A 27227-nucleotide genomic window follows, 5' to 3' on the forward strand; every position below is an offset into this window, starting at 1 on the left:
AAAAATATCAAATACAAGCCCTGAAAATCAGTAAGAAAATAACTTTGACTTCCCAATAAAAACATAAAGGTCAGATAGCAGAATTTCATGGAAAAAAGGCAAATTGATGAAATAAGCATAAGGGAGAAAGGGTTCAACAGTAAACAAGAAGTACAAATAAACATAATAGAGTATTTTTCACATACCACATTGACAAATTAAAGAAAGACATAATTCAATACTGGTGCAAGTAAAAAGAAACCACCCAACACTTTCAGGTAGGAATATAATAATATATATCCTTTTGGAAAGCAATTTGACAATATGTATTAATAACTTTAGCAATATCCTTAAATTTTTACCTCAAAATTCCACATCTACCATGAACAGAGTGGTGGTCACATGTTTATATACAGCCCAACAATTTAATAATTAATATCCCAAAAAAAGAAGTAAATTTAACTGGAGTTCAAAATGTACATACTCTATAATCCAGCAATTACAAGTCTAGATTTATAATGTAAACTTTCAGCACATGTGCACAAGAATACATGAACAAATATGTTCATGAAGCATTTTTTGTAACAGCAAAAAACTGAAAATGATCTAAATGTCCATGAACAGGATAACGGAAAAATAAAAAGAGATTTATTGATGGGAAGGAGTACTATCTACCAATTAAAACCAATGAAATGGATTTATAATGAATATGGCTCAAAAATATTGTTGGCTAAAAAAAGAGAATCAAATAATAATAGCAACGATATATTTCTGAAGCACTTACTATGTATTAGGCATTGTCTTAAGTGCTTCATATGTAATTTGTCATTTAACCTTACAAAAATCCTATAAGAAAAGTAATATTATAATCCCCATTTCATAGATAAGGAAACAGAGGCACACAGAATATAAATTGTGTAAAGTCACATGGCTAGTGAGTGGTAAAAGCTCAGATGGTGTACGGAGTGTTTCATTTATGTAAACTATAAACATACATAATATAAAATATGAGCTGAAAGCATATAAAATAAGTGAATAATACTGGTTTTCTCTAATGAGGAAAAGAAAGGAACGGTGACACAGACCAAAAGGGGCTTCTACTGTACCTATGCCTGACATACTAAATGCTACGTTAAGTGTTAGCTATTGTTATTTAAATTACTAAACTTTTACCAACTATATTTTTATCAATAACAACAAGAAAGAATGCCATATGTGGAAACCAAAAGTGCTGCCTTTAGTAGCAAGGGAATTGAAGAGAGACAACCTGATAGAAGGAATAAAGCCGCTTACAGAAAATTATTTTAACAAACTAACAAGATTTCAACATACTGTAAAATGTATAGAACTACTCAAAAGTTATATGGCTAATTAATCATTAATATCTCTCCAATTACACTATATATCCTGTGATATGTCCTTGTTTTACACTTCTTTTATTTCCCACAAGACAAAGAGTGTGTTAATCTAATAGGAGTAACCACAACTTTATTACGGTAGTAAATAAAGAAAAGTAAAAAAAGTAAGAGAAAGAAAAAAAAAGAAACTCTGACAGTGTGCTTTTATATATTACATAGACTGTAATCTCAAACATCAGAAAAAGGTTTAAATTGATCATGATACAACAACATAACAAATGCAGCCCCAAGATGTATAGCAGCAAATATGGCATGAGATACTCCTGTTACTAAAGCACTTAGGAAAAGAATCTTGAAAAAAAGTATGTTTAAATGATCTTAAAAACATGCTAAGGCTTTTTTATATAAATTTCAAAACGCACAATTGAGAATAGCTGATAGAAGGAGCAAATGCAACACGCAGATGTTCAACTGCATACTTTTTCCTCTAAGAAACTAGTTCATTAATGAAAAGCATTTAAGGATGGCAGTAAGTAATTATGCTTACCAGTAAACATTTTAGTAACAGCCTTACTCTGCTTTCGGGCAGAACAGAGAAGCAATAGCCATGGTGGAAAGAACTCATGGTGACCAGCTAAAAGTGCTGCAACAGTCCCAGATAAGCTGGTAGACGTTTGTTCACCTTCAGTAATGTTACACCCTTCATCAACAGAATCAACAAGCAGGTATAGGCTTTGCTGGGGAGGCTTCATTCCCAGAAGAGGGAGTAGAACACACCTGTAAAACACATACACATGAGCATTTTGAATGTTAAGTGGCTATGATGTTAAGATTTATTATTCAAACATTAGAGTATTAATTATAAATTCTTTAAGAATAAAATAAGGTATTAGAACAAAAAATATTATACAAGTTTCAATTCCTTACTTTAAGTACAACATTGGTCCCAAATAGTTTGTATTTCCAATTACAGCATTTTGAACAATCAAGAGTAGGTGGGTGTGTGGGTGTGTGTAATTCAGCATAATTAACAAAGGCATTCAGAATTGAAGAAAACTATATTTCAATATTCCCTTTCTGATTGTTTTGAGTCAGTGATAAAAAGCGTGATTTCCTTATGACAAAGCTAAAATGTGTTGCAGAGTGGAAAACAAAACAAACTCTGGGGATCACCTTAATAAAAAGCAAAATATCAAGAGTTCTGTAGTAGAAGTATTTTATCACCACTTTTCCCACAAAATTACTGCAGTTTATACAAGCTCGTCTTCCACAAATTTTATTTTAAAAGACTGTACAAAGATGAACTATATTCTAGATCCCATTTGACATATTTTCAAACTTCAAAGTAAGAACAAAGTATTAGGCTTTACTCCATTAATTAATGCATTTCTTATGCGTGTAACTTATATTGCAGTTGAATATAACTTTTTCATAAATACAACACGCTCATTCATTTTCAACAAATATTTACTTGATGTGTGCTGTGGGGTCAATAAGGTGCTGAGCAGATACAACAGTGAAGAGGACATAATCCATCCAGTTATGCACACCAGAAACTTACAAATAATGTGTTCTAAAAGTGTGTTTTCTTAGTCTTTCAATATAATAGCCACCAAGATCTAATTTATCACCATGCAAGAATCAATATTTCTTTTTAAAAAATCTCAAATATCCTGTAACATCATCACTGTAGGCCAACCTACCTCAATTCTTCGTCTCTTTTACCTGGGCTACCCTAACAATCTACATGCCTCCAACAGCTCACCTCCTGTGAGTTTCTACTGCAGCCAGGGTCACTTCAAATGTTATTCCAGCCAGACTAGCCTTCTTTCAATGACTTCATGAGACACAATTACACGTGGGCCTTTTCATTTGCAGTTTCCTCTGCCTGGCATGCACTTCCCGTCTCTCTTCATGTAGTTTATCTTCAATTTTAAGTTGAGAGTAACCTTCTCAAGGTCAAATCCCTATTACATGCTTCCATAACGTCAAATACAGTAGTTCTTTTCCACTCCACTAACAAATTTGCAATTTTATATTTAATTATGTAGTGTCTTTTTAAAATTTTTCTTTAACTGTAAGCATCAAGAGAGACTAAATTGGTTTTACTCATCAGTATACCCCTAGAACCTAGCATAGTGCCCACAGTAGAACCTAAAGACTTGACATTGTTGCAAGCTAGAATGGAAAATGAATTAACTTCAATGCACTGTTCTCAGTGCTATAAGAAAAAGCAGTAAAATTCCTAACAAGATAAAAAGAAATGACCAACTTAAGTGCAGTAGGTAGGGAAGGAAGAGAATGTCAGAATAATATTCATATATTAGGTGCTCAAGATGAACTAAGTTTTGAGGAAACAATCATACTGCTACAGGAGGGTAGAGGGAAGGTGGGGTAATCCTGGCAAGGAACATGCTGAGTTTGGGAAAACCTACTCTATTGTATCTTAAACATATATTTTGTCCATTATGAGCATAAAGATGGCTGATGAAAAATCAGTAACGTAGTCATATAGTACAATATATAGAGAACACAATATACTAGAATAATGTACATAATAAGTACCACTTCAGATATAGCACACAGGAAGCCATCTTAAGTTACTTTTGACAGGGGAAGTGTGGGGGAGAGGTCAGGGAAATTGGGAATTGAGGTTGGTAAGGTAATGAGCCAGGAGAAGGAGTTTAGTCAGGAGAAATAGCTGGGGGTAGGGGAGGACACACAGGAAAGAAAATCTAGTTGAGGCAACAGCACATGCAAAGGCTTAAAGAAGAGAAAGACCAGTGAAGTATGGAAGAAAGAATTATGAGAAGCATGAAAATGAGTAAATGCTGGGTATTATTATAAATTGTGGGCTTTGCTCTAAGGGTATTAAGAAGCCACTGAAATATTTTAAGCAGAAAATTGATATGTTTATACTGGAGTTTAGAAAGGTAACTCTGGTATATGTGAAGGAAAATCTGATATAGGGTAAGTCTAGAAGGAAAGAGTGAGATATGAGGCCAATGCTTAGAACTTAGAAAAAAAAATCTCCATCCAGAACTACCACTATCACCAAGGCCATCACTGCCAACTTTAATTCAGTGCTCTATATGCTTTAAGTACTTCACACATCCATTAACTCATCTGATTCTCACATTAATTCTTTAAGGTGGGTACTATTATAATACTCATTTCCAGGAAAGGTAATCAAGGCACAAGAGGATCAGTCACTTGTTACTTTATAAGTGGTAAGAAAGGGATTCAAGTCCAAGGTCTGGTTCCAGAACCTACACAAGGGGGACAATCCATCCTGGTTTGCCTGGGACATTCCCAGTTTCAAGTACTGTGTCTCAGGACCCAGCCCCGCCTCTTCCCAATCTCCTTCTCCCCTAGTCCTGGGCACATCATAGTGGGGGTCAACCTAGTCTCCACTCTTAGCCACTATGGTCCACTGACTAGCCATAACCAATATGAGAAAGTAAATTATAAATTAGTAGCAGTGGGGATAGCAAAAAGTAGACAGATTTGAAAGAAATTTGGTGAGTAATATTAATAGGATTTAGTGATTATCTCCTTTCTTTTGCCTATTCCAGGATATTTGCTCTTCTTTACCTAGTTTCTTACAGTGGAAATTGAAGTCATTTTCCATACTTTCCTTCTCCTCTAATATAATCCTTTAATGCTGTTAATTTCCCTCTAAGTATTTTCAGTATCATCCACTTAAAAATAATTTCCCTTTGATTTCTTCTTTAAAACATCCATTATTCAGAAGTGAGTTATATAGCTTTCAAATAATTGAGAATGTCCCAGTTATCTATATCTGTATTATCACAGTTTAATAGAATTGTATCAGATAACATGTTTTGTGTAACTTCCATAGCTTCAAATTCATTGTGACTTATTTTACGGCCCAGAGTATATCTATCCTAGCAAATGCTGTGTATGCACTTAAAAAGAATGCACAGGGAGGCCGAGGCGGGTGGATCACGAGGTCAGGAGATCGAGACCATCCTGGCTAACAAGGTGAAACCCCGTCTCTACTAAAAATACAAAAAATTAGCCGGGCGCGGTGGCAGGCGCCTGTAGTCCCAGCTCCTTGGGAGGCTGAGGCAGGAGAATGGCGTGAACCCGGGAAGCAGAGCTTGCAGTGAACCGAGATTGCGCCACTGCAGTCCGCAGTCCGGCCTGGGCGACAGAGCAAGACTCCGTCTCAAAAAAAAAAAAAAAAAAAAAAAAAAAAAGAATGCACATACTGTTGTTGCTGGGCAGACTGTTCTGTAATTGACAATTAGGTTGATTCGGTAACAGTATTGTCCAAGGGTCCTACGTACTTACTGATTTTTGGTTTATTTACTCTATCAGTTGTTAAAAAGGGAGTGTTAAAATATTTGAATATAAGTGTCTACTTCTTAAAATAGTGTTAGTTTTGCTTCCTATATTTTGAAGTTCTGTTTTAAGGGCTACAAATGTTATGACTGTTATGTCCTCTTAAGTAACTGGCCCCTGTATCATTAGGAAATGACTCTATATCTAGTAATAGTCTTTTCTCCAAAATCTACCTTGTCTGATATTAATGTTAGGCACACCACCTTTCTTTTAATTAGGGTTAGCATGGTACATGTTTTTTAATTTTTTTTATATTTAAGCTATTTGCCTCTTTATATGTGAAGTGAAATTTTTATAGGCAACATATAATTAAATCTTGTATTTTTACCCAGTCAAATTCTATCCTTTAATTAAGATATTTATCATTTACACTTAATGTAGTTGTTAATAGGGTACAGTTTAAATCTATCATGTTTTTGTCCACATAATTTTGTAACGTACATGTATGTCAGTAGGATATATTACTAGGAATAGAATTGTTAGATTAAGGGACACCTTTATGTATATTTTGATAGATATTGCCAAAGTGATGCTGTCCTTATAAATTTTATATATATACACACACATACATACATATATACACACACATAATGTATATATATACCCATATATGTAATGTGTGTGTACATATTTATCACACACATATATATGTATATATTTATACACACACAGGCAACAGTTGTGTAACAGTAGGTGTTTTCCTAGCCTCTCCATAATAGTGATTAATGTTATTTACTTTTTCTACAGCTAGGTGAAAAATGGCATCCTCATTATAGTTAAAAAAAACTATACAATACATATATTAATATTATATACTATATAATAGTTGTACATATTTTGGGGGTACGAAATATGTGATATTTTGATACCTACATGCAATCTGTAATGATCAAATCAGGGTAATCGTGGTACCTATCACCTCAAACATTTATATCTTCTGTGTACTAAGAATATTACAATTCTTCTTTTCTAGCTATTTTGAAATGTAATATTGTTAACTAGTATTATTGAATACTAGAACATATCCCTTCTATTTATGTACCCCTTCATGCTTTTAATTTATAATTCCTTACCATAAGGGCAATCATATTCACATGTGCCTAGGAATCATATTTCTTTTTCTTTAAATTGTGTTTTCATACACTTTACCCATTTCCCCAAAGACTGCCAATTTTTCTCTTATTGGCACTCTTTAAGTGTTAAGAAATTGAGATAGTGCCACTCCACTCCAGGCTGGGTGACAGAGTGAGACTCCGTCTCAAAAAAAAAAAAAAAAAATTGTTTGTTGTATGTAATACAATTTTTTTCCACCATTTGTCATTTTTCTTTTGACTTTTTGAAAGGTTTTTTTTGGACATGTACAATTTCTTTTTTTTTTTTTTACTTTTATATAGATAATACATCAGTCTTTTTTTTTTTTTTTCCATTTATAGCTTCTAAGTTTTATGTCACATTTCTAAGGGGATTCCCCAGTTCAGTGACAATAAGAAAAGATTTTTGCTATGTTCCATCTCATTCTGTTGTTTCACCAACTCTTTTCCAAGCACTTATATCTCTGCTTCATGCAACTGTTTAACTTGGGCAATCACTCATTAATTGTTTTCATTTAAGGCAATATATTTGGTCAAAGATTCCTTTTGTTCGATGAAAACATTTTTTATGGTGTTTCTTATGCCCTGTTTTTCACATTCCTTCCCCATTTGTTCTTGAGATATATTTTATGTATCCTGTGATAGCTCTTTTTGAGTAAATTCTTTCTGGATCAGCAATTAAAAGTTGAGTGTATGCAGTGTCTAGGCTGGCAAGAAGTCTCCTTATGCGTCAGAGTTATAGGTATAAACAATTTCTTTGAGCTTTGACTTCTCCCCAGCCAATTAAGATCAAAAGCTATGGGGATGTACACAACCCGTAGAGTTTACTACACCCAATACCTTTTACTACACCCAATACTACACTCAATACCTTCCTCCTGCACATACATGGCTCATCTGTGTGACTCATTCTGCCTTCCCCTCTTCATTCTTTCTATATGCTTATCTGGGTCCAGGAAACTGCTACCATAAGTCTATAACTTATCTCCCTGGGATCAAATGAGAGCTTTTGTCCTCTTGATATTCATCAGCATATGCACTTATTTCAACGAATAATGGTCTGCCAGCTTTGCATCTCAATTTGATATTAACTTTCACATTAGATTGAGGTTTGGGATTATAGGTCTCTCATAGTTTCAAAATACATAGAGCTTTTCATTCACTTTCTTGCCTTGAAGTTATTCCCCAGTACTATTTAAAATGGTCTTAGTCATGTAAAAAGTAGATAGGATTCATTCCTAAGTCCTCCTTTTCGTTTTAGCACATTGTCTTCCTTTCTGTTTTAACACCAAGCTTTTTTCTTTTTCCCCCCCATTCAGGACCTATTTCTAACACTGAGCTTTTTTCTCTACCAAGAAAGCTCCCTCGCCAGGCAGTACTTCTTATCCTTCAGGTTTCAGCACAAGTTTTACTCCTGAAAGAAGCCTTCTCTGACCACCATATCTAAAGCAGCCCTCATCACCATTACTGTTCCTGCAATTGTTTTTTTGTAGCATTTATCACATTCTTAGATTAACTTGTTGTGTTACTTCTGTACTGCTTTTGTTACAAGGCTGAGAGTGAAGCTCCTGCACACCTCCACATCTCCTTGCCCATAATGTAGGCTTCAGGAGGGCAGGAACTATGCCTATCTTGTGCACTGTTAAATTTCCCAGCACTCAAAACCACTCTTAGCACATCACAAACACTCAATAAATTTGCTTCATGAATGAATGATACTTGATGGAAAAAGTTTTGTTACTTTAAAACAAAGGATTAAAAATTTACTAAACTCAGAATTTCCATATTAAGTTCCCTTTCAATTATTTCAAAAGCACCTATTTGGGGATGTCTACATCAAGTGACACACAGATTCACATTTTTCTGTTAGGTTACATTTTATCATTTGTAAAATGAAAATCCCACCAAAGTATGTGTACACAACACATAAATAATTTAGACAGTCTAAAACAGACTTTTCTGTATTTGTGAATATTTATATACATGTATATTATTATTATTCCAAATGAGATAATGTAATGACAGTCGGTTATCACAATCATACAAAGATAACACTGTATTTAAAAGCAACGGTATTGTACAGGGTTTGACTTTGTATGTGTATCTTAACTAAATGTCTTACATTTCTTACCTTCATTAATATTGAGCCAATATTTATTACATTCTTAATTTTTTATTAATTCAATTTAAAATCCTAGAGTTAGTTTTTCCCCCATTTTCACTTGTCTTGAAAATGAGGAATGCCAAGATCATCCTTCTGTAGCTAGCCTTTTGATTGATTTACTTAATTTTTTTAAAAAGTGACAGATAAAATTATATGTATTTACCATGTATAACATGATGTTTTGAAGTAGATATACATTGAGGAAGGCCTAATTCTAACTAATTAACATATGCATTACTTCACATAGTTATCATTTTTGTGGTGACACTCTTGATTTCCTGGCAGAAAGGCAGCTGAAACTGAAATGAAAGACATCCATTGTTCTTTTTCTTTGATACAATGAATTTACTTACTGCCTTTTTCTTAGGAGATTAATAAGCTTTTAAAGCTACTATAAATAAATTATAAGGAATATACTATTAGATAATAGATGAACAGATTGAACATGAAAAAGTGTCTTTAGAATTAAAATTGTTTCTATGAAACATCAGGTTTCAGCTCACTTTCTTCCTCACTTGTTCAGACATAGAGTATTAGGAAGAATGTCCCTCCTAGCCTTTTAACAAAACACCTCAGACAAGCTGGAGGGAGAAAAATTGTGAATTACAGACAGAATGTGGAGCCCCTGGGGCCACTGATAAAGAGCGTTCACACTCGCTTGCTGCCTTTTCTCTACTGACCCCTTAGGGGTTTAAAAACTACAGCAACCACCCTGGCTGGGAAAGGTATGGAATGAAGCTCCGCCCCCAGACTAGGCTCTTCTCCCATATGACCCCTATGGAAAAGCCTTAACAAGGAGTGGGTGGGGAGGAATAGAATAAGCATTACTTGTCCTTGAGGCACAAGTGAAACCCACCGCAGCCTACAGCAACGGGATGGGCAGGATCAGAAGACCTCACCCCAGTCTGAGGGGTATAATATAATCTTAATCAGAAAAACAGAAAATGTCCCCATTCTCTGCCCTCACTGCTGAGAGAGTTGTAGAAGAGAAGAATTTGAGAGCTGAAGGTAGAGAAGATATTGAGAAAATCCACCTGGAAAATCAGCCCATGCCCTAAATACAACATATTATTAGAAGATTTGAGGTCAGAGGTGCACTGAGGGTACCCACAGCAACAACAAATATCAAATTTTGTGACTCCTGACTAGCTTAACTCACCTCTCCTCCACATTAAAGCCTCCTGCAGAAAACAAAAACTAGGCCCATTTCCAGGTAAAGACCATTTACAATTATTTTCCAGTTGTTTGACATACGGTATGTGGCTTCAAAAAATAATTATAAAATACTAAAATAACGGAAATAATTCTGAAAGAGAAAAATAAAGTTGAAGGACTCACACTACCCAATTTTAAGATTTACTATTAAAGCTAGTGCAATCAAGACAGTATGCTATGTATTTGTTAAAGACAGATTAATAAAAATTCTGGAAACAGAGCAGCATAAATATAGGAACATGATTTTTCACAAAGTTGTAGAGGTAATTCAATTGAGAAAGGCAGGTTTTTTGTTTTTTTGTTTTTGTTTTTGTTTTTTTTCCAACAAATGATGCTGAACAAACAATAACAGCTGGATGCCCAAATGCAAAAAAGACGAACTTCAATACATATCTCTCACCCCGTCCCACAAAAATTTACTCAACACAGATCATAAACTTAAGTGTAAAACATAAAACTATAAAACTTTTAGGAGAAAATCTTTGTAATACTGAGTTAGATAAAGAGTTTTTAGACACTTCACCAAAAGCGGGATCCATAGAAGGAAAAAAAAAATTGAAAACTTGACTTTATCAAAATTAGCTATAGCTATTAGATACTGTTAAGATAATGAAAAGAAAAGCTGAAGACTGGGAGAAAATATTCGTAAAGCAAATTTCTGACTAAGGCTCATATTAAGAATACATAAATCACTCTCAAAACACTAAGAAAACAAATTGTTTTTAAATGGGCAGAAGATTAAAATAGACACTTTAGAGAGGAAGAGAGAAGGGCATCAAATAAACATAAAAACGTGCTCAACATCATCAGTCATTAGAGAAGTTCAAATTAAAACCACAGTGTGATACCACTAGACACCTATTAGAATTGTGCAAATAAGTAAAAACCCTGACAACACCAAGTGCTGGTGCAGAGCAATGGCATAGCCATTTCCAACGGTACAACCACTTCAGAAAAGTCTGACAGGTTTCTAAAAAAGTTAAAGATACACCTACTACATGTCCTAGCAATCCCACTTCTAAGTATTTACCAAAATGAACTGAAAATGTATGGCCACATGAAAATCTGTACATAAATGACATAAATGTTTACAGCAGCTTTATTTATAATCCCCCAAATTAGAAACAGTGTACAGGATCTTCTACTAGTGAAGGGATAAACTAACTGTGGCATATCCATACAACAGAGTATCACTCAGTCATAAGAGAAAAAACAAAAAAGGAAAAACAACTACTATTGATCCACACAACAGCATGGGTGAATCCTAAATCAATTTTCTAAGTTAAAGAGCCCAGTTCCAAAAGGCTGCACATACTATTGCATTTACATGACACATGGAAAAAGTAAAACTATTGTAGGAATAAAATTTACATCAGTGGTTGCCATAGGTTGGAGTGGGGGAAGGAGTTTACTAAAAAGGACAGCAAGTAGGAATTGTTGGGGTGATGGAACTGCTCTATATCACAACTAGGTGGATCCATGACTCCATGCATCTATCAAAATTATAAACCTGTACTCTACAAACAGTAAATTTTACTGTATGAAAAATGAAAATAACGCAAAATTATTACTTGTTAACGTTTCTTTGAAACGCAAAAGACATAGCTTGGTACTACCAGGGAGTCAGAATACTCAGAACTCAGGAGACTAACTATGTCCTCCATATGTGCAATATTGAGCAAGTCACTGTTAATGAGTTGTCTTCTTTCCAGTTGGTATTCTGAGGTTCTTCTGAACAGACCAATGCTCTTAGATCAGATCATTAACACTGAAGTCAGCGAAGCCCATCTAAACCTACTAGAATGCTGAATCAAACTATAGGATTCTGTTTTCCAGGATCTGACCAACAATTGGCGCCTTATCAATTTCTCTAACCTCATCAGCCCTGCACTTGGTTCTTTAAACAGATCCTCCCTTTGGCCTTAGAACTTTCATATATGCTGGAATTTCCACCACTCCTCACTTCAAGGTTTTTATTATCCTTTAGAGATCAGCTCAAATATCACTAATTCAGAGAGGTCTTCCCTGACTACATTTCTCACCCGACAACCCAAAGTAGGTAAAATTCTCTATGTATACACTCCTATAACATCCATGAAAGCCCTTATAACAAATGTAATTAATCAAGTAACTAAGGAATTGGCAGTTTAGCATCCACTTTCAAAAACTTTGGGAGAGAAGGAACCACCTACATATTATTCACCACCGTATTTCCAGCAGCTAGCACAGAACTTCACACAAAGTGGATGATTTATAAATATTTATGGAATGAATGAATGAATGGGTTTATTTCATTATTGATATACAGAACAGTGCTTATTCATTCCAGTGTCACGTCTTTAAGATTAAACAAAAACAACAGTTCACTGTTGGCTTGCACTCAGCTCCTAGGTGCTTGTGATGGTTCATTTTATGTGCCAACTTGACTGGGTGACAGGGTGCCCAGACATTTGGTCAAATATTAATGCAGGTATGTCTGTGAGGGTGTTTCTGGATGAAACTGACATTTGAATGGGTAGACTGAGTAAAGCAGATTGTCCTTCCTAATGTGGGTGGTGGCCTTCATCCAATCAAAGATTGAATACAACAAAAGGCTAACCCTTCCACCTGACTGCACGAGGTGGGACAGCAGTCCTTTTCTGCCTTTGGACCTGAAAAATCAGCTCTTCTTGGGTCTTCAGACTGCTGACTTTCATACTGGAATTTACACCATTAGCTCTCCTGATTCTCAGGCCTCTGGGCTCCACTGACATGAAACTAGTGGCTCTCCTGGGTTTGCAGCTTGTTGACTACAGGTCTTAGGATTTCTTAGCCCCAAAATTGTGTGAGCCAATTCCTTACAATAAATCTCTTTTAATACATATATGGCTCTGTTTGTCTAGAGAATCATAATACAGGGCTTACTGCAAAAATTTCCCTTCATATAGGTTACTTTATTAAATTTACTCTTACATAATTTGTTTTTTAAAATGTGTATTCTATATCTTATACTTGTATCCACAAAACATTTATATCTTCCCACCCACTTTTGCAGTATTAGTCTATTCTTACCATACTCCAAAGTACTAGATAAAAGGCTGTATGATTTTTTTTGGTTTGGGCTCAAGAAAGAAGCAAATTAAGCTGCTACCAAAGGAAATGCTAGAGTTACACAAAAACAAACAAAAAATTCATGTGTCATTAAGAGAGGAGTACCTCTCAAATGCAGGGACATTTGGAATATGCCAAAATGTGGCAAAAACTGTTACTGTCACTCAGGAGTAACAATGAATACTCAACATCTTTCTTTGACTTCTGCAAGACTAGAGAAATATCCATATGTCATCTCTGAAATCCCAGCTTCCAGAAAAATGGCAACACACAATTACCTCATTTCCTATACTCTTGATAACTGATCTTTTCTTAAGATTAAGCTGCATTATATAAATTACCAGCTAACCTTTGAGGAGAGGGAGCAAATCTTCTGAGAAAAGTCTTTTTTAATATTTGTAACAGATTTATTTTCATGTAAGAGCATTTCCCCAAAAATGTACATTTCCAGCTAATAAGCTAGAAAAAATAGATATTGGTAATTAAAACTAGGACAATACAATAAACAGTACAATAAAATAATCAGTTATTTAAAATAAATAGCATTACCTTTACAAATTAAAGTGTTACCTTAAAAATTTTTAAAAAGACCATGCATGGTTTACTACAATTAACTGCTGTAGGCTTTAACATCTCCCCACTCTTGGGATGCTGTTAAATAATTCTCACAATTTTTGATAAAAATTATACTACTAGAACACTCTACTGTAAGTTTGGGGTGAACAGTACAATTATATTTCTTTAAGGCCACTGACTTGTGTGAGAGATGGCAAGACCAAGTATAGAAAGAAGTAAGGAAGAACGAATCAATTGTGGCTCATGTACCCCAAACAAATTTGTGAGTATTTTTCAGAGATACATTGTCTGACTCACTTATACTTTCTATTAAATAGTATAGGCATACATTAACTCAATAAATATAATGTATTCTCTTTGTTATGGCCTTAAGAGTAAATGGTAGAGGAATATCAGGAGGAACAATCAAATAGGACTGAGAGAGAAAGGAAGAAAGGACAAGGATAGAAAGAAATAGAGGAAGAGGCTCTATGGTTTGAATTGTAAATGGAGTGGCAATTCCCCACTTTCACTTACGATTCAAAATATTATGTTATTCTGCACTTGTTTGTTATCCATTGGCTTTAAAAAGGAGAACAGGCCGGGCGTGGTGGCTCACGCCTGTAATCCCAGCACTTTGGGAGGCCGAGGCGGGTGGATCATGAGGTCAGGAGATCGAGACCATCCTGGCTAACAAGGTGAAACCCCGTCTCTACTAAAAATACAAAAAATTAGCCGGGCGCGGTGGCGGGCGCCTGTAGTCCCAGCTACTCGGGAGGCTGAGGCAGGAGAATGGCGTGAACCCGGGAAGCGGAGCTTGCAGTGAGCCGAGATTGCGCCACTGCAGTCCGCAGTCCGGCCTGGGCGACAGAGCGAGACTCCGTCTCAAAAAAAAAAAAAAAAAAAAAAAAAAGGAGAACAGTACTTAACATTTCTAACTCTCTGAAGATACTAAAGTTCAATAAATTATTTTTTTGGGTTATGATCAGCGTAACATTAGTAAAACAAAGTTTGTAGCAAGGATTTCCCATTTCTGCTCTAAACAGTACACTTAAAACATTCTGATGTCTCATGTAATTCTCTCCCCCTGGCCCTTTTTGAGTCTCCTACAAACAGTGCAATATGAATGAAAAATACACTTTTCTCTAGGAAAAACTGTGTGCCTCTAGTGAAAGGTCCTAAAATTAGAGCAGAAGAGAAAACTAATGCAACAGCAATCCAAAATTACTGATCACTGATTTCTACTTGAAAGCAGTACACAAGTTGAGCATTCCTATTCCAAAAATCTGAAATACAAATCCAAAATGCTCCAAAGTCTGAAACTTTTTGAGCACTGACATGATAACACAAGTGGAAAATTCCACACCTGACGTCATGGGACAAGCCGAAGTCAAAATGCAGGCACACCACACACAGTTTATTTGTGTTCCCAAGGGAAAAATAAAAAATTACCTTCAGGCTATATGTATAAAGTATAGATGACACATAAATGAATTTCATGTTTAGACTTAGGTCCCATCCCCAAGATTTCTCATTATGTATATGAGAATATTCCAAAATCAAACAAAATATATATCCAAAATCTGAAACATTCTGATCCCATATATTTTGGATAACGTATACTCAACTTGTATTAATTCAGGCTGCTCTGCATTTGGAAGTGGATAATGAACTAAAACTCTCAAGTACTAAACACTCAATATATAGACACTGAAATATATGGTTGGAAAGTGACTTAACTGGTAAATATTTTAAAGCAATTTGGCTTTCTGGAGGGAGGTAATGGTTGGGGGGATATAATGCATTTGTCTTTTAAATTAAATACATATGTAATGTATGTTAATTAATTTTCTTCTTCAGGAAGTCAAGCTAAATATAAAAAAATCATCCTGCTATGTTTAAATGTTTGAGTCCCTCCCAAAATTCACTTTAAAATCCTAACCCCCAATGTGATGGTATAAGAGGCAGGGCCTGTAGGAGGCAACTAAGTCATGAGGGCAGAAACTTCATGAATGGTATTAATGTTCTATAAGAGACCCCAGAGAGCTAGCTCATCCCTTTTATACCATGCGATGACAAAATACAGCAAGAAGGTGCCATCTATGAACAAAGAAACAGGACCTGACCAGACTTCAAACCTGCCCATATCTTGAGCTTGGACTTTCCAGCATCCAGAACCAAAAGAAAAATGCTGTTGCTTATAAGCTACCTAGTCTATTGCATTTTGTTTTAGCAGCCTGTATGGACTAAGACACAAACTGACATTTATGCCTAGAGTATGTAGAAGCACGATCTCTATGGATTTACCCATTTATCCCTCACCCAAATCCTGTAAATTAGATAATATTATCACTTCCATTTCACAGATGAAGAAACAAAGGTTTTGAGGGTAAGCAGCTTGCTAAGTGAGACAAGTAGTAAATGGCAGAAGAAGAAATAGAATTCTCTTCATTTTGAAGTCCCTCTTCTTAATTATTGTGTTAAATTGCTTCTGAAAATATCAAAGAGTATAAGATAAGAGCATGAGGTCCAATATTAAACAAGGAAGTTCTTAAAACCTGGCTAAACCAGGCAAGTGATGTTAACTTTTTAGCAATTAAATTAGCTGAAAATATTTTTGTGGAAGAAATAATATTGTAACTTTTAAGGTCTTGTAACTGAATATGCTACTTTTCAAATTTCACTTTCCTGAGGGTATTAAACAGTCCTGTTTGTTTGCTACAAATTCTTTACTAAAAATCACTTATCTCAATACTGAAATTCCAGAAAAATCAATAGATGGCAGGTGCTTGAAATGATTTTTCTGAAATTATTATATAATTAATATCAAGGGTCTAATTACCTATAGCTCCTGAATTCACTAAATCTGGATCTGTAGTTAATTACCTGCGATGTATCAGAATACTTTTTATGTATATCTGAAGCCTGCTCTCACAAGTTTTATTTTATTCAGTTACCCCTTATACTACGCTAAATGCAGAATTATGATTTTTAAACAAAAATATCCTCCAATTTAATGGTTTTCAATTGTCCGTATCTGTATATTTTTCCTACATTTATTACCAGTTACCTTGATATTTACGGGATTTAAAAAATTAAATTATACATAACATTAGCAGTTTATCCATTCTGATTCTGAAGCCTGAAATCTCATTACTACCTAGAAGGTAAACTCTAAATGTACGTTTTGATGATAATTTCAATAAATAGTAATGAGATTTGTTTTGATGCTAAATTTCACCTAGAAACTGAACTTTCTAAAATAGTTGGGGAGTATATGCTGACACATCTGCCTATCACTTTATTAACCAAATGATTAAAGTCTTGCAAAAAGCCAGGTATTAACAATATGTTTTTATATAAGATGAGAAGTAGAAAAAATAATGCACTAACAATTCTTACCCAATATATCTTGTCTTATTTTGGGAAAACAAACCTAGACCTTCTTTTCTTAGGAGCAAAATTACCCATCCAATAAAGTAAAGCAAGTGGAACAGGAAAAAACAACAACAACCAAAAAACAGGCAATACAATTAATACTTCCAATCGGGGAACAAATATTATCTATGCATTTACTAGGATAAAAAACTAGTAAGTAAAATTGATAATTAAAATTAGTCCAGGAGTTTGGCCCAAATGTAGAATACAATTTGTCTCTGAATTTTGGACTAAGGTGTAGTGATTTCACGCTTTTATGAACTGTCTCCCCTTTGTTAAAACATAGCAGGGACATATGGAATTGAAAATAAAAAGAAAAATATAGCCAGTCAGGAATAAGGTAAACATTTCAAAGTATCAGAAATGAAAAAGAAGCATAACAAGATAAAATCTCTAGCTTGCCAAGAAAGTATGCAAGGCAACCTAGAGATTTGCTGATGGAAGTAAAGGGAATACAAGTTCTCCCACTTCTAGCAACAGGACTCAGGCTCACTGTTTGGAACTAGGAGCTGGAGCTAGGGCATGTCTTATTAATAATGAAAGAAAGATGAAACAAAAAGCACTGCTGACTACCACCCAAGGCTATGGCTTTTAAGAAGCAGCAGGGAGCACATAAAGTTAGTCTCAATGGAGACAGGAACTGAACCTAAAAAGATCATGGGTCAGTGACTGAATTTACAAAATCGTTAGTATCAGCTTGGAGTAGGAACTTCATATCTCAATTTTTAGCCCTCATTCAAGATCATACTGGGGATGGGGAATGGTGGAGGCAATCAATAACAATTAGAGCAGGAAGAACAAAGATGTAGAAATGGTAATAGAGAAGAAATCCAAAAAAGAGAGTGAAAAAAATTACAAAACTTACAATGCCGAGAAAGAGAGCAACAAAATCAATGATCAGAATATGAATTCATATCCAAATTAATTTATAAAACTGCCAAAAAATTAAAAGAAAATGTATAGGTATAAAGTTAATTTTTTTAAAAAGAAATTATTTAACAAAGGTACATATCCAATAAAATTGGAAAGAGCCAGAGAAATCTTGTTTATAGAAACTTCTACTGCCAGATAAAATGTAGTAGGTGGCAGCAGCCCAAAACTTCCATTGCAAGAACTAGAAAAAAAATGAATACATTACAAAATTTACATTTTTCAAGATATGAGAGGGCTTGTTGAAGCAAGAAGATAAGATGAATTAGAATTTCAGAGGATAGGAGCTCTTCCAAAGTGAGCAAAAGAATGACCTGCTAATTTCTTCCCAGGGGTTATTTGCTAATTTGGGAGGCCTATACTGATTTTAGTTACAGACTAAGAATCAGGTTTGGCTCACCCTCAGGGACTCTACCAGGAGAACCAAACCGGCAAAGCTTTCAAGGGGTCAGTTATATTCCTCTAAGCAAAGTGCAAACATGTGGTGTCCTGAACACGAGGCTGAATTTCCTCAACGCACGTTTACTTAAATTCCGGGCCATGCTTAAAAAGCTGGGCAACTTGGCCAACTGCATCTAAAAGCCAACATGAAATCTCTCGTAGTATCTTGGAAACAAAATTCTGCTAAAGGGATGGTGCTTACTTTAAGCACGTAACTCAGGAGATTTGCAAGAATTTGAAGGTATAAGGGGCAGGAAGCTAAAGAGCTAAACATAATTTCTTATGTTGGGGGAAAGAACTGAATTACCAAGGGTCTTTCAGAGCTGAAAAGACTCTTCTGAGTCTCCAACCAAAAGCTTAAGAGAACCACATAAAAATAATATAAATAAACCAAGGGTCTTAGTAATATTATAAAAAAGTACCAGCTCCACTTAATGCCTGACTGCATCAGCCCCTCACCCTATCTGTCCAAGGTTTTCCTGTTGTTGTTACTTTGTTTTAATTAGCCTTTTCTGATAAAAGACATCACCTGGAAATCTACAATCATTTAACACACTATCAGATATAAAATAAAAAATTATTAAACAGAAAAAAGTCAGGATTATAGATTGACAATCTAGAGAAAAAAGAGATAATAGATGCAGACGAATAATGCAAATATTTTTGCTAGTATAAACTAAAATAACCATGACTAATATGTTAAAGAAAGTAGAGTAGATGGATAAAAATAGATAAAGAATTATAATTTTAAAATGTAACCTATAAAAATAATGAAATAAAATTCCATTCTAGAACCAAAAAAAATATAATATTTGACATTAGGAACCCTGAATGTATTCAACACCACTCTCATTAGAACAGAAGACAGGATTAGAAATTCAAAACAAGTTGATAGAAAATACCCAAAATGAAGGACAGAGAAAAGACAGAGAAAACAGAAAAAATGAAAAAGATGTGTGGAACACAGTTAAAAGGTACAACATACATACAATTGTGGTCCCCAAAGAAAAAGAATGAAGAGGCACTATACTATCTGAAGAAGTAATAGATTAAGGCTTTTCCAAGCTTATGAAAAGCATCAATCCACAGATTTAAGAAACTCAATAAATATAAAATAGAAAAAATACCAAGAAACCACATTTTGGCATGTCATGCCAGAAATCCATAGACAGAAACCCTTAAAAGGAGCCAGAGAAAAAAGGCATTATCTCCAAAGGAGCAAAAATAACACTTCAAGAAGCTTTTCAACAAAAACTAAAATTAAAAAGGTTTGAAAAAAATGAAAAACAATGCCATTAAGTTTTTTTGTCTTGGAGAATATAGTTATTGTTTTATCAAAATGTTATTTATATTAACATGTAATGAATTATTAAACATGAATATATACATTTAAAATTTATCAGTTTAAATTTCAAATATAGCAAACACATTGATAGATATAACTGACATAAAAATTATTTGAGGATCTAATGATTTTTCACACCCCACATCCAATATGTCATATCAATCTTGAAACATAAATTAGAGTACACTTTTCACTTGTACTGATACTTCACCAAATCAAATCCAAGCACCACTGTCTCTCACTTCAATTACTGCACTGGTACTTACAGGTTTCCTTAGAAGGATAAAGTTGCTATTTATTAAAAAAGAGAAGACTAAGGGAGCAGCAACATGTGGGATGGAAGTGAGAAGTCTAATTTTGAACATGTTCAACATTAGAAATCTAAGCAAAGAAGTTGAGTAAGCAGTTAGATTTATAGGTCTAGATTCAGGGAAGAGGTCATGGCTGCATAAATAATATTGGGTCCACTGAGATACAGTTGATAATTAAGGCCATTAATGAGCTTCATGTAAGAAGCAAATGTAAACAAAGAAAAGCCAAGATTTTAACCCTGATGTATTTCAAAATCAAAGGTTGGTGCTATGGTTGAGTGTTCCTGCCAAAACTCATGTTGGAAGCTTAATTCTCAGTATAGCAATGTTGGGAGGTGGTCAATTTAAGAGGTGAATAGGTTATTAAGGTAGATTAATATGTTTCTCTTTAGATTAGATCTCCAGGGAATTGATTAGTTCCCAAGAAAGCAGGTAAGTTATAAAGAGTGAGGTTGCCTCTAGTGTGAGGTCTCTTTGCATGTGCCGGCTTCCCCTTCCACTTCTCTGCCATGCTGTCACATAGCCCAAGGCCCTCATCAGAAGCCAAGCAGATACCAGCACCATGCTCTTGGATTTCCCAGCAACCAGAATTATGAGCCAAACAAACCTCTTTTCTTTAAAACTTATCCAGCCTCAGGTATTCTGTTATAGGAACACTAAATAGACTAATACGGGTGGTGAGAGATGAAGAAAAAGTTGCTGGTATAAGAGGAGAGAACCAAGTGAGAAAGTGAAGAAAGTGTTGCTAGAAGTGGGGTGGGGTGGAGGATGGGCAGCAGGAGATGAGTTATGTCAGGTATTTCTGCTGCGTTGAAGATTGAGAATTGAATTTAGCAACATGGAGGTCTTGGAATACTTGTAGAGTGGAAAATACAGCTTGATTATACTCTAATAGGACCATGAATGCATGAAACAAACAATAGTAAATATAGACAGAATTTTTTGAAGCATTTGCTGTAAAAGGGAACAGTGAAGTTGAGTAGTAGTTGAAGAATGATATAGGCTGGGGGAGTGTTTTAAAAAGGGTACTAGTACAAGATATTTGAATAATGATGGGAAAGGGTAAAGTGCTTAAATATGTCATTGAGTAGGTGAGGTGGGGTGGGATCTGGTAAATAAGTGAATGGAAAAGGAGCACAGATGGTTTAACCATAGTTAGAGTATAGATCCATACTCTACATCCATAGTTAATGTAAGGCAGACTATGTAGATATAAATGCAGGAGGGTTAGTACAGATCTTCCAGTAAATGTGTAGATGTTCTCTTCTAAATATACATACGTGTGTGTGTATATATATGTTATTTATTTTTATTTATTACATATATATACTATTTCATTTTATTTACTTTTTATTATATAGGAAGCCAAGTTAACAGCTAAGAGTAAGGGTTGGGAGGTGGGCAGGGAGATATTAGAGGTTGAGAAGAGAGAAGTGTGAAATGGTCAAGTAGGTGAGCAAGGGAATGGATAGTTAGTGTTTCTCAGAGTGTGGTATGGGGACCCTGGAAGACTCTGAGAACTTTCCAAGGGGTCTGTGAGGTCAAAATTATTTTGAAAGAAATATTAATACAATATTTGCTTATTTCACTCTCATTTTCTTCTGAAGATATGGTGGAGCTTCCAGGGGCTACACGATGTGAGGTATTGTAAGAGACTGAATGCACAAACCATCCAATTGGGATTTTTGTTAGGATTGTATTGAATCTATAGGTTATTTTGTGGGAATTGGCCTGTTTACAATATTGAATCCTCTAATCCATAAAAATGATATACTCCTCCATTTACTTAATTTTTTTCAATTTTTCTTAATGTTTTGGTTTCCAGTGTACAGACTGAACACATCTGTGATTAGATTTATCACCAAGTATTCAGCTTGTTTTGTGTTATTGTAAAAAACAATTGTCTGTAAATGAATTAAAAGAAGTTTGAAAACTGTTGCTATAGAATAAAAAATGTACAAAACTAGAGTTTGTAACAATTACGTGTGTATACCTATATATCTCCCCTTATGGTCAAACTACATTTACTTTTATAAAAAGTAAATTCACAAGAAGGGTCATCTATGGAGTGTGTGTGAGTAGAGTAGATCTGAATTAGAAAGGATACCCAGGGACTTTAAGTGTGGATTGTTTGTTCTTTAAAACAAGACAGAAAATTCAGATTTAGAAGCAGATATGATAAAAAAAAAAAAAAATTGGGTAGGTACATGTATGTTTGCTTTCCTGTTTACTTTCCCGTATCACTGAAATGCTTCAGGGGATGAAAACAATCTATTATTTCCCCAACAAATTGCTTTCTTATAAGGATTTCTTATCCTCTGGGGCCATTAATTTTTCCCTTTGAATTCCTGTGACTTTGTGACCTGTGTCACTCTAAGCAGCAATTTAACCAACATATCAATTGAGATTGAATTCAAGTTTTTTCTCCTTTCCAAATAAATATTAATTTTAAGTGACAGTCTCAGAAAGAATGACAGCTATTCCACAGATCAAACTATGGATTTATGGAAAAGAGGCAAAAGGTGACCTCATATGACTCTCATCAAATAACATAAATCTAATGCTATTCAAAAGATTTTCTATTTGATAAAAATTAATTTCAATGTAAATTTCAAAAGATACAAATACAATAACCAAAATAGGGTTTAAAAGAAATCCTTTTCATCTATAACTATATAATCTACATATATAAATTGTTCTACAAAAAAAAAAAACCATGGACTACTTAAAAACTGAACATGGCTAAAGCAATAAAAATTACCAGTGTGAAGAAGATTATAATGTTTTAAATTAAAATATAAATATTCATTAATTCAAGAAATAATTACTAAGTTCCTACTGTATTATAAGCCCTGGATACAAAGAGGACAAGAAAAGCAAATACTCTGTTATGCCAATAGATGAGCAGAAAGTCAAAAGAAACAAATGCACAAAATAGTTCCAGATCATTACAGATACTGAAAATTAAGAATAAGGACAGCTAAATGGGGTGATGTGATTTAAGACAATGACTGGCTAGGGGACTTCTAAAGATTCAGTGAATAAGGAAAGCTCTCTGAGGAGGCAATGTTAAAGATGGTACCTAAATGAAAATAGGGCAAATAGCCATACAAAAATGTGCTGGCTGGAACATGGCTTATTTCAGAACATAATAAGGGCAATGTCGATGAAGAGCAATGTGCAAGAATAAAGTAGTACAGGATAAGGTCAAAGGCTAGGCAAGGGTAGACCATGTAGAGCTTAGGTTTTATTCTAAACATAGTAAGAAGCCACTGGAAGGTTTTAAGCAGGAAAGTAACATGATCTGATAATTTTGCTTTGTGAAAATAAGAGAAACAATAACAACAAGAAGAGCAGTTAGGACTCTAGTGCAGTAATAGTCCAGCAATAGAAAATGGGAGTAGTAGTGATAGAGATAGAGAGAAGTGGAGGTATTTGTTTTATCTTGGAGACAGAACCAAAGTAACTGGTGGATTGAATGTAGATGACGAATGAAACTGAGTTATCAATGGTGACTCCTACATTTCTGATAAAAATTAATGACTTCCCATTTTAAATATTTAACTTCTGTATCGTTAGCTATTTTCACAATAGTGGTATATCATAAACACCCCAAAACTCTGTGACTTAAAGTAACAAGCATTTTAGCTTTCTTCTGCATCTCTGCTCTTGGTGATTTACTGTAGGGTTGCAGGTTGGGTCCCATCTGCTCCATAGCTCTCTCATGTTCCTTGGATCAGCAGGCTAGCAAGATCTTGTCCTTCTCATTGTGGTGGCAGAAGCACAAGACAAGCTCAACTTTAAGCTTCTGTTTGGGTCATGTCTGTTAATCCACTGGCCAAAGCAAACCTTAATGGCTGAGCCAGAATTAAAAGATAGAGAAATACACTTTTTTGTGTGTGTTTGAGATGGAGTTTTGCTCTTGTTGCCCAGGCTGGGGTGCAATGCCGTGATCTCAGCTCACTGCAACCTTCGCTTCCCGGTTCAAGCAATTCTCCTGCCTCAGCCTCCCGAGTAGGTAGGATTACAGGCATGTACCACCATGCTCGACTAATTTTATACTGTTAGTAGAGACAGGGTTTCTCCATGTTGGTCAGGCTGGTCTCGAACTCCTGACCTCAGGTGATCTGCCCGCCTCGGCCTCCCAAAGTGCTGGGATTACAGGCGTGAGCCACCACGCCCCACCAAGAAGTACACTTTTCCTCTAGTGAAACGACCTGCAATCTCTTATGACAAACACCACTAGTAGATGGAGGTACAAAGAATAGAGACAAAAATAGAGACAAATGAAAGAACCATAAAAGGCTACCAGTTTCTGGAAAGCTCCAAATCATTCCTCAAGATAACCACGAGGAATATGTAATTCTTCTTAATACTTAGCTTTATTAAGCAATTACATAAACATTTTCAAATTCTATTTTATCATTAAAGACTATACTTAGCTAAAATGTGTATAGTAGAAAGAAAATGGCATTAGAAATATTTCGAGATTAGGTTAGCATAATAGATACAGGTTTGAAATTTAAAACAATGAAAATTATACGGTCAAAGACACTAGTAAAACAACTAGAGGGTAAAGACAGGCAACCAACTGGAACACACTTCAAAGTGATTTGTTCATTTGTTTGTTTATAGAGATGGGGTCTCACTGTGTTGCCAGGCTGGTCTCAAACTCCTAGGTTCAAGTGATCCTTCCACCTCAGCCTCCCACACGTGTGAGCAACCACACCCAGCCAAAGAGATTTTTAAAAACAAAAAAAAAAAGTATCTAGTTACCTTATTTCATAAAAATCAAACCATTTTACTTCACAAAATTAAAATTAAAAAAGGCAAAATTTCTAAAAACGAGACCTAAAAGCAAACTGCAAAAAAATCAAACCCTCAACATGTATCAAACAAAAGCTTCATATGTCTACTGTTCATATAAAGGTTTTATTAAATGCTAAGAAAAAGAATGTTCTCACTTGTCCATATTCCCTAGAAGCTTTAATATGTCTCATAGACTTAAAAATAATTCTTGAAAGAATGAATGAGCATAATGCGCTCTGTGAGGTTATAGAAACACATGTTAGATGAGGCATAACCAAATTATTAAAAGTTTCCAAAGCTAAGCAGAGAAATTTGAATTTGTTATGTGGGTTATCACAGGCTCAGAGGAATGTCCTAAAGAAAACACTGTTTTACTATGGTTAATTAGGCAACTGTGAGAAAAATGAATGAAGTAAGTAAATCAACTGGAATGGGTGAATAAAAATTGTAGATTAGGGTAAATGAATTCAAGGACTATCCCAAGAAAAATATTAAATATTTTAGACCAGAATATTATGACAGAAGACAGTCAAAGAAAACTCTAGAATCCAGCCTAGGACAGTGCTTCTCAAAGTACTCTAATGCACACAGGATTCACTTAGGGATCTCTTTAAAGGGCAGATTCTGATTCCCTAGACCTGAGAGTCTGCATTTCTAACAAGCTCCCAGGTGATGCTAATATTGATGATCCTAAGATCACATGGTTTAGTAGAAAACGGCCTATGAACTAAGAATAATTATAGAACCTAGATAAGGAGTCAGTTTTCCCAGACTTGTAGATAATAATCAAGCTTCCTATTATATGCTTTATCATCCTGTTTCTTCCTTCTTAGCACTTATCAAAGGTGTGTTCTAAACATGTATTCTTGTGACTATTTGTTCAATGTATTTTACCTCACTTAACTTAGTGTTCTGCTTGGCTCAATACTTTAGCCCTAATACTTAGTACACATCTAACACATAGTTGACACTGAATACTTGATTAAGAAATAAATGAATCATCAATGAATAGAAATGCTTCAAGAGAAGTTAGTTTAAACATAGGTTAGTGAGGGACTACCAAGTGAAAGGATACATATTGATCAGAATGATAAGGCTGTTGATGCAGATTTGATTGCTAATAAGATAGCAATCAAATCTGCGTCAACAGCTTTATCTATGCATTGGTAGCCATGTAAGTAAATAAAATAATTGAAGGCATATGTGTAAAGAGAGAAGATCTAAGCTTGTGGGGCAAACACCCAGAGAGGACCCAGAGGAAGGTCCACCAAAGAATGGAGTCAGTGCGAGATTCTGAAAGAAAAAAGTACAAATACTGAAAAAAAATACCTAAAATACATCATTTAAAGCCTAAAGGCAAATTGAGCAGTACGTTCACAGGCAATCATGCATAAACATCTTTCTGTAAATGTGTAGAGATGAACGTTAGATTTCAGCAAGCTAGGAAGAAACTGATGGGGAAGAGGAAGGGAAACTGATACGGAAGAGGAAGCAGCGCTTGCACATACGAACTCTAGACAGTATGAGAGCAAATTCTGGGAGTGATAAAAAATGCAGCATTTTTTTCAGAGGAATAGAAAACATATTTGTCCTTGAAAATGACTATAGGAGCCAAGCTGGCACATGTAAATACATGAACTGGTCCTGCTATAGAATAATAGAGCATGGTGAAGGCTGAACCAAATTAGAGCATGCAGGGCTTATATAAAGACAGCAGCTGACTCAAGTCTGTAAGATTACTGCCTCAAAGGAATGAGAACCAAGTACTGTCAAAATTTCCAGGTTTTTTTTTTTTTCAAGAAAAAGCAAAAATCTGGATATGTATATGAAATTTGCTGCATTGGGGTAAAAACATCCCATACTCAACTTGTAGAGCACCACTTCACTCTCTCTGGTCTAAAAGGAATCTGAGTTATCAAACAATAAATTGGACTGCAGAACAGAACTAAGAATGTGGCTAACTTCAAAGTTCTAAGTATGCAAACAGGAGCAATATGTTATGTCATTAGAGCAGAAGTGATTAGAGGTTGAGGACTGGTTCAGCAAATGATAAAGAGTACCAGGAACCAAAGGAAGCAGCACTTAGATTGAAATATAAAAGGAACAGACAAGCTAGGGTAAAAAGAAAAGATT

At 34.9% G+C, this 27227-nt stretch overlaps 1 protein-coding gene across 4 annotated transcripts in view; it reads right to left on the reverse strand.

Moving 5' to 3' along the window:
• Positions 1-27227, reverse strand: part of ANKRD50 (ankyrin repeat domain containing 50) — a 48685-nt gene that overhangs the window by 12744 nt on the left and 8714 nt on the right. For all 4 annotated transcript variants that reach the window (NM_001167882.2, NM_020337.3, XM_047415992.1 and 1 more), the window contains one exon: positions 1885-2114. In NM_001167882.2, the coding sequence (NP_001161354.1) occupies positions 1885-2089 (205 nt within the window). In that variant the 5' untranslated portion in view covers positions 2090-2114. The remainder of the gene's footprint in view (positions 1-1884; positions 2115-27227) is intronic.

The sequence above is a fragment of the Homo sapiens genome, chromosome 4, assembly GCF_000001405.40.
Source record: "Homo sapiens chromosome 4, GRCh38.p14 Primary Assembly".
In the NCBI taxonomy this organism is placed as follows: Eukaryota; Metazoa; Chordata; class Mammalia; order Primates; family Hominidae; genus Homo; species Homo sapiens.